This window comes from Homo sapiens, chromosome 8 (assembly GCF_000001405.40).
Source record: "Homo sapiens chromosome 8, GRCh38.p14 Primary Assembly".
NCBI classification, from domain to species: domain Eukaryota; kingdom Metazoa; phylum Chordata; class Mammalia; order Primates; family Hominidae; genus Homo; species Homo sapiens.
In genome coordinates, this window is record NC_000008.11 from 18,115,625 (window position 1) to 18,124,863 (window position 9,239).

General features: G+C 42.8%; 2 annotated features.

Moving 5' to 3' along the window:
- Positions 6,296–6,590: a silencer, noted in NCBI's record as "tiled region #4415; HepG2 Repressive non-DNase unmatched - State 21:Repr". NCBI's record gives its function as "represses a minimal TATA promoter and a strong SV40 promoter by Sharpr-MPRA in HepG2 cells {active_cell/tissue: HepG2}" and the evidence as "EXISTENCE:reporter gene assay evidence [ECO:0000049][PMID:27701403]".
- Positions 6,953–7,508: a transcriptional cis regulatory region, noted in NCBI's record as "candidate enhancer chr8.526 targeted for multiplex CRISPR interference". NCBI's record gives its function as "positively regulates ASAH1 gene expression with high confidence in K562 cells {active_cell/tissue: K562}" and the evidence as "EXISTENCE:mutant phenotype evidence [ECO:0000015][PMID:30612741]".

The window sequence follows — 9,239 nt, forward strand, 5'->3', positions numbered from 1 at the left end:
TGACTCTGCTGCCTGTTTCACACTGTCGAAATACACATGTATAAAAGATATTTCTAAGAATGCTAATTGGAGGAATACATTTTTTAGACATTAATATTTTATACAGCCCTTCCCATTGATTTTTGCACCCCCCGCCCAGCCATCCATCCCAACCAGAATATTGCCCCTGACAGCGACAAAAGAAGACAGTACCTGATGGGGGGGCTTTGGTAGATGGGACATCTACTCTACCAAAGGGTGGTCAAAGTAGGTTTGGCAGGAGAAGAAGGCACTTCCATGGTTTGACAGTCACCTGAGGCAGGGGTCCTAGGAACTGCAAAAGTATCTTCTTGAGGCATTATCTGCCACTATCCCTGCCGGCCCATCAGGAGGACCCATTGGCCCCTGGCATGTGTGTGTTATGTGCATATGCACTCTTTTTTTTTTTTGAGATGAAGTCTCACTCTGTTGCCCAGGCTGGAGTGCAGTGGTGCTATCTCAGCTCACTGCAACCTCCATCTCCCAGGTTCAAGCGATTCTCCTGCCTCAGCCTCCCAAGTAGCTGGGATTACAGGCGCATGCCACTACACCCAACTAATTTTTGTATTTTTAGCAGAGATGGGGTTTTGTCGTGTTGGCCAGGCTGGTCTCGAACTCCTGACCTCATGTGATCTGCCTGTCTCGGCCTCCCCAAGTGCTGGGATATACAGGCGTGAGCCACCGCGCCCAGCCTGCATATTTGTTTATCCTCTTTGTAAGTGGTGAAACCGTGCTTTCTGCAGGCACTGTAGATCTTCACCTGAGCCTGGCAACTCGAAGGCCTGCACTGATCACCAGGACCAGTGCTGGCCGTGGACCTGGGTCCTAGGCCCTAGGTTTTCTGAGCATCACTGCCAATCTTCAGGAGACTCATGCATGTGCAGCTCACTTCTGCCAGACCCATCTGCACCTGCACCTAAAGTGCTGCGTCAGCTTAGCCAGATCTCCAGATCCCCAGCTCATCAAACTATCCACCCCCTCCCTAAAGATATTTGTATCAGGATATTTCTAACAGTGCCACTTGTGTGAAAAGATCAGGTTTCAGTTGTTGCTTTGTAACACTGTTTTCATAGATCTGTGCTTCATGGTATCTGCTCTGTCAATATAGATGTATAAAAGAAGAGTCTTAGAATGTGATTTGCAAGAATGAATCAAGATCAGGTTATTTCCGGGAAAACCATATTGGGCACTCTGTGCTGCGTGCTCTACATGCTAATAAGCTATGTGTGAAAGTTGTGAATACGAATTCTTGATGTGAATATCAGTCAGGATGTGCAAATGCTCTGAAACACTGTGCCTCGGGTTACAGACAGTCTAATGACATAATGACATGTATAAACACATCTCCAAGAGTGCTCTAAGTGAGGTTTCTTTTTTTTTTTTTTTTTTTTTTTTTTTTTGAGACAGAGGCTTGCTCTGTCACCCAGGCTGAAATGCAGTGGCGCAATCTCGGCTCACTGCAAGCTCCGCCTCCTGGGTTCATGCCATTCTCCTGCCTCAGCCTCTCGAGTAGCTGGAACTACAGGCGCCAGCCACCACGCCCGGGTAATTTTTTGTATTTTTAGTAGAGACGGGATTTCACTGTGTTAGCCAGGATTGTCTCGATCTCCTGACCTCGTGATCTGCCTGCCTCGGCCTCCCAAAGTGCTGGGATTACAGGTGTGAGCCACTGCGCCCGGCCCTAAGTGAGGTTTCTAAATGTAATTATGTGACTGCATGAAGATAGTGTTGTGTTTTGTTTCGTTTTGTTTTGTTTTTGAGATAGAGTCTTACTCTGTCCCCCAAGCTGGAGTACAGTGGCACGATCTTGGCTCACTGCCACCTCCACCTCCCGGGTTCAAGCGATTCTCCTGCCTCAGCCTCGTGAGTAACTGGGATTACAGGTGTGCACCACCATGCCTGGCTAATTTTTTTGTATTTTTAGTAGAAATGGGGTTTCACTACATTGGCCAGGCTGGTTTTGAACTCCTGACCTCAAGTGATCCGCCCACCTCAGCCTCCCAAAGTGCTGGGATTACAGGCGTGAGCCACCGTGCCTGGCCCGTTATCGTTATTTTGTGAAATACTATGTTTATCACACTGTGCTGCATGTTATGTATTTTCTAAAAGAGACATCTGTTAAAGATATGTCTAATATGCTAGTTGTGTGTAGCATATTAGACACATCTATTTTTGTGAAACCCTATATTCACCAATATAAAGATGCGTCTAATATGCTAATTAATCAGCATATTATTTTTTGTCTGAAAGATTTGTACTCACCAATCTCTACTGCATGTATACACTCCCCATAGATGTGTGAGAGACGATTCTAAGGTTTTCTTTTTTGAGATGGAGTCTCGTTTTGTCACCCAGGCTGGAGTGCAGTGGCACAATCTTGGCTCGCTGCAACCTCTACCTCCTGGGTTCAAGCAATTCTCCCTGCCTCAGCCTCCCAAGAAGCTGGGATTACAGGCACCCACCAAAATCCCCACCACCACACTGAGCTAATTTTTTGTATTTTTAGTGGAGACAGGGTTTCGCCATGTTGGCCAGGCTTGTCTTGAACTCCTGACCTCAGGTGATCCATCTGCCTTGGCCTCCCAAAGTGCTGGGATTACAGGCGTGAGCCACCACGCCCAGCCATAAGGTTTCCTTTTACATGAACCAATCAAGACACCGTTCTTTCTGTATAATACTGGGTTCACCACTCTGCTGTATGATATACACTCCCTAAAGAGACATGAGCAAAAGATGTTTATAAGAATGTTGGCTCCCGAATGAGTCAAGATAGTGTCACTTGTGTGAATCACTCTCTTTAGCACTCAGAGGTGCATGTTATATGTTCTGTAAACAGACATGTTTAAAATATATTTCTAACAGTGTTTAGTAACACTACTCTAAAATCAGGATAGTTTTATTCCTGTTACTTGTATAAATGAATCAGATAAATCAAGATAGTGTTATTTGTGTGAAACACAATGTTTACCACCTGTGATGTATGTTATACATGCACATATTAAAAATACATGTTTTTCTGTAAAGAAACATGTATAACATATGTTTGTAAGAATTCTTTTTCCTTAATGAATCAGGATACTGTTCTGTGTAATACTGAGGACATTCTGTGCTTAGAGAGAGAGATATATAAAAGTTGTTTCTAAGATTGCTAGTTATGTGAACGAATCAGGATAGTGGTATTTTCGTGAAACCCTACATTCACCGATTTGTACTTCAAATGTAAAAGATGATTGTAAGAAGGCTACTGGCCTGAATGAATCAGATTAGTCTCATTTCCTAGAATTGCTATGTCCAGCACCCTGAGTTGCATGTTATTCCTTCTTTAAAAAGATGTTTATAAGAATGCTTGCTCTGTGGATGAATGAGGACAGGGTTATTTCTGTGAAACACTGTGTTCAACAAATCAGTGCTGCAGACCCCGCCTCCAACACTGGGGATTATAATTCGACATGAGATTTGGTGGAGACACTGATATGGTTTGGCTCTGTGTCCCCACCGAAATCTCATCTCGATTTATAATCCCCATATGTCAAGGGAGGATCCTGGTGGGAGGTGATTCAGTCATGAGGATTGTTTCTGCCATGCTGTTCTTGTGACAGAGTTCTCACGAGATCAGGCTGATAAGTGGCACCTCTCCCTTCTCACTCTCTCTCCTGCCACCACGTAAGACATGCCTTGCTTTACCTTCACCTTCCGCCGTGATTGTAAGTTTCCTGAGACCTCTAGAGCCATACAGAACTGTGTGTCCATTAAGCCTCCTTTCTTTTCTTTTTTTTAAGCCAATGAAACCATTTTATTACTGTTAATCAGTTACTTAGAAATCACTTTTACCAGAGTTTAGATTACTAACACCTTAGGAAGACCATTCTCTCCTTTTTCATTATTATTTCTCAAAAGAGAGAATGTTTCTGGTATTCCAGAAATGAATATGTTGAGAAAATCTTTCCATTATCAGTATCATTTAAACAATGTTGAAGTCTGGGGAAAAATAAATTTTTTCCAAGGCTACACACATATCTATTCTTTGAATACAGGAAACTGAATGTGCAAATCCAGACAGTTGCAGAATTTTCACTGAAAGTCTAAGAAGGGATGAGTGTGTTATTGTGAATGGACTCTATAGACAGTATTAATTCCTTCACTTTCAGGCACCATCTCTCAGTGTGAAATCTCAGAGTCCCAGAAATCCAGTGCTGTTTCTTTGGGCTTTGTTCCTTGCTTCTTTCTTGCTTTTTTTTTTTTTTTTAATTATTATACTTTAAATTCTGGGATACACGTACAGAACGTGCAGGTTTGTTACAAAGGTATACACAGGCCATGGTGTAAACCTCCTTTCTTTTTAAATTACTCAGTCTCAGGTAGTATCTTTATAGCAGTGTAAGAATGGACTAATACAGACATAGATCCAAAGCATATCAAGCACTCTGTGCTATATGCCCTCTAAAAGCCATGTATAAAAGCTATTTCTAAGAGCGCTAGTGGCATGAATGAATCAAGACAGTGTTACTGTGGTATTTCTGTGAACACATTGTCCACCACTCTGCCCTACATGTTATAGACTCTCTATATACATAGCGTGAATATGATTTTAAAAGCTCTTCTTACCTGAATAAATTAGGATAATGTTTCTTCTGTCTATCCTTGGGTTCACCAGTCTATGCAGCATGTTACATGCTCTCCAAAGAGACACGTACGTACAAAATATAAGAAAACTTGTGTGAATGAATCACAATTGTGTTTTTAGTGAATTGCTTTGTTCAGCAGTCTATACCATAGGTTATCCAATATCTATTGAGTCATTTAAAAGATTTTTCAAAGTGTTCTGTTTGCATTAATGAATGAGGATAATCTGTGAAGCACTCTGTTCAGCACGCTGTTCTGCACATTATATTCTCTCCATAGACATAAGTGTGAATGATGATTCTAAGAGCTCTTTTTCCCGGAGTCAGTCAGAATATACTGTTTTGTCTGCCTAACACTGGGTTTCCTAGTCTGTGCTGCATTTATACACTCTTGTTAAAAAAATGTTTCTAAAGCTGCTGATTGCATGAAAGAATTAAGGTAGTTATATATGTGAAACACTGTGTTCAGCACCTGCCACATGTCACACACGCTTTAAAGACACATATATAAGCATATTTCTAACAATGCTATTTGCTTAAATTAATGAGGATAATATTATTTCTGCAAAACACCATGTATTAGTTTTCTAGGGCTGACATAACAAAATATAATTTACTGGGAGACTTACACAAGAGAAATTAATATTCTCACAGGTCAGGAGGATGGAGGTTCAAGTGTTGGCAGGTCTGATTTCTCCTGAGTCTTCTCTTACGGGCTTGCAGATGGCTGTGTTATCACCGTGTCCTCATGTGGCCTTTCCTCTGTGCAGGTGCACCCGTGGTATCTCTTCTTCTATAAGGACACCAAATAGATTAGGCTTCTATGGCATCATTTTAACTTGTTCACCCCTTTAAAGACCTTATCTTCAAAATTCAGTTACACCCTGAGGTACTGGGGTTTGGGGATCTCAACATAGACATTGTATGGAGACACAATTCATTCCATAACATTCTACCTACTGGGCACCCAAATTTATGGTCTGATCATATGCAAAATAAATTTACCTCATTTCAAAACCCCAAAGTATCAGCCCATTTCAACATCAAATCTATGTCCAAAATCTTATCAGAATATCTAAATCTAGCATGGGTGAGACTCACTCAGAATATCTAAATCTGGTGTGGATGATGTCTCCTGAGGAGAAATTCCTTTCCAGGTATAAACCTGTGAAATCAGACAGGTTATCTGCCTTCAACATACAGTGCTGGGACAGGCATAAGACAGACATTCCCATTCCAAAAGACAGAAATTGGAAGGAAGAGAGAGGCCAAGGGTCTCAAGCAACTCCAAAACCTGTCAGAAAATGTCGTTAGCTTTTAAGACTCAAGAATAATTATCTTTGGTTTGATCTTGTGTCTTCTGAGCACACTGTGGTTGCAGTCCCACCTTTCTGGCCCAGTGGGGAGAAAGCTTTGCCTCTGTGACAATGGGCAGCAATCTTGCTCCCGTCACCCTGGTTGGCAACCCTTCCAGGAGAGCCCCGAGCAACGCCCCCAACCCCAAAGCCTGAATGGCAGCCCTGCCCTGAGGACCTAGATGGTGGTGACCTGGACTGCTGAACCCAAGGAGGTGACAACCTCAACCCCTTGTTCTGTGCTCTCTTTGCTTGTGATGGTAGTTGAAGCCCTGCCAATCTCAGAATCACTTTCAGAGTCATTCCTTTCTTTGCTTGAAGGATAACACATGTTCACAACTCTAGCGTTCCCTCCTGTACAATCCCAGAACTCTGACATTCGTCTTTCATTGTGTACCATCTCTGTCCTCTTTGGTCCAAGCTGTCAGTGTATCTGCTGGTATAGCCCCATCCCTCTCCTGCTTTGGCTGAGATGGCTAAGCAGATCTATGAGTCACACTCTTAATCTCATTACTGGGCGATTTTCCAGCAACATTCTTGGTGTTCTTTTCAGAAATCACTTTATTTTTTTTCTGAAATATGAGTAGTCTCATAATATTCCAAGTCTTCAATTTCTAGTTCCTTTTTGCTTAATAATACCTTCAATTTATCTATTTTCTCCCACATTTTATTATAAGCAGGAAGGAGAAATCAAGCCAGACTTCTAATACTTTGCTCAGAAATCTCCTAAGTCAGCTAAATATCCAAGTTTATCACAAATTCTACCTTCCACAAAATGCTAGGGCACAATTCAACCAAGCCTTCACCACTTTATGTAACAAGGTTGGCCTTTATTCTCCAGCAAGATACTCATCTTTTCCACTTGAGGTCTCATCAGAATGGTTTTTACCATCCACATTTCTACCAGCAATCTCTTCAGGGTAATCTGCGCTTTCTAGCAGGTACCTCAAAACTCTTCTAACCCCCACCCATTACCCAGTTTCAAAGCTACTTCCACATTTTTAGAACTTTGTTACAGCCGCACTCTGCCTCCCAGTACCAAAATCAGCACAAGTTTGCCAGGGTCACTTTAACAAAACACCATACCCTGGGAGGCTTAAACAGCAGAAGTTCATTTTTGACAGTTCTGGAGCCTGGAAGTCTAAGATAAAGGTGCTGACATATTTGGTTTCTCCTGAGTCCTCTTTTCCTTGCTTGCAGATGGCCACTTTATCATTCTGTCCCCACATGGCTCCTTTTCTGTACATGCTAACTCCTGGTGTCTCTTTCTGTTCTGATAAGGACATCTGTCCTATTGGATTAGGGCTCTACCCTCATTGCTTTTTTTTTTTTTGTGACAGGGTCCTGCTCGGTCACCCAGGATAGAGTGCAGTGGTGAGATCATGGCTCACAGCAGCCTCGACCTCATGGGCTCCAGCAATCTTCCTACCTCAACGGCCCAAGTAGCTGAGACCATAAGCATGTGCCACCAGGCCTGGCTGCCTCGTTTTAACTTAATCATCTGTTTACAAACTTATTTCTAAATATGGTTATACCGTTTTTTGTTGTTGTTGATTGTTTTTTTTTTTTTTTTTTTTTTTTTGAGATAGAGTCTTACTCTGTAGCCCAGGCTGGAGTGCAGTGGCACCATCTCTGCTCACTGCAACCTCCACCTCCCAGGTTCAAGCAATTCTCCTGCCTCAGCCTCTCAAGTAGCTTGGATTACAGGCACCCACCACCACGCCCAGCTAATTTTTGTATTTTAGTAGAGACGGGGTTTCGCCATGTGGGCCAGGCTGGTCTCGAATTCCTGACCTCAGGTAATCTGCCTGCATCGGCCTCCCAAAGTGCTAGCATTACAGGCATGAGCCACCACGCCCAGCCAGTATGGTTACATCTAAATATGGTTACATCCTGATCCCCTGGGGCTTGGGACTTCATATGAATTTTGTGGGGGTGCACAATTGAGCCCATAACACACCGTATTTCCATCTGTTGTGCCTGTTATGTACTCTAAAGAGACATGCATAAATCACGTTTATGAGAATGCTTGCTGTGGGGACCAAACATGAATCAAGTGTTTTGATGTGACACACTCTGTTCAGTATGGGCTGAATAGTGTGTAAGGACGCATGTTCATACCTGTAATCCCAGCACTTTGGGAGGCTGAGGTGGGTGGATTGCCTGAGTCCAGGAGTTTGAGACCAGCCTGGGCAATGTGGTGAAACCCCATCTCTACAAAAAATACAAAATTTAGCCAGGTGTGGTGGTGCACGCCTATAGTCCCAGTGACTTGGGAGGCTGACGTGGGAGGATCACCTGAGCCTGGGAGGTGGAGGCTATAGTGAGCCAAGATCATAACACTGCACTCCAGCCTGGGTGACAGAGTGAGACCTGTTTTTAAAAAAAGCAAAAGACATGTGTACGATGGTAATTCTTTTTCTTTTCTTTTTTTTTTTTTTTTTTTTTTGAGATGGAGTCTTGCTCTGTCGCCAGGCTGGAGTGCAGTGGCACGATCTCGGCTCACTGCAACCTCCACCTCCCGGTTTCAAGTGATTCTCCTGCCTCAGCCTCCTGAGTAGCTGGGACTACAGGTGCACGCCACCATGCCCAGCTGATTTTTTTTGTTTATTTTTATTTTTAGTAGAGATGGGGTTTCACTGTGTTAGCCAGGACGGTCTCGATCTCTTGACCTTGTTATCCGCCCACCTCAACCTCCCAAAGTGCTGGGATTACAGGCGTGATCCACCGCACCCGGCTGTATGATGGTATTTCTAAGAGCGCTAGTTGTATGAATGAATCAGTACCGTGAAGTGTCTGGAAGACTCTTTGCTACATGTGATACATTCTCTAAACAAACATGTTTAAAAGATGTTTCTAAGATTTCTACTTACCTGAATGAATCAGATACTGTAATGTGTTTGAACCACTGTGTTCACCACTCCGTGCTGCCTGCTATACATTCTTTAAAGAGCCATGTGTTCAGTATTTTCTAAAGTACTCATTTTAAGTAAATCAGGGCCATTTTACATCTGAAATACTGTATTTGATAATCTGTGCTTCATGTTATATATGCGAGGGCACATGTATGAAAGACACTTAGAGTGCCGGTGGTAGGAATGGATTAGTATGCTGGTATTACTGTGAAGCACGGCATTTAGGATTCCATGCTGCAGGCTATACATTCGCAACAGATAGATGCGTAAAAATATTTTGAAGATGTAACAAACCTGCACGTTGTGCACATGTACCCTAAAACTTAAAG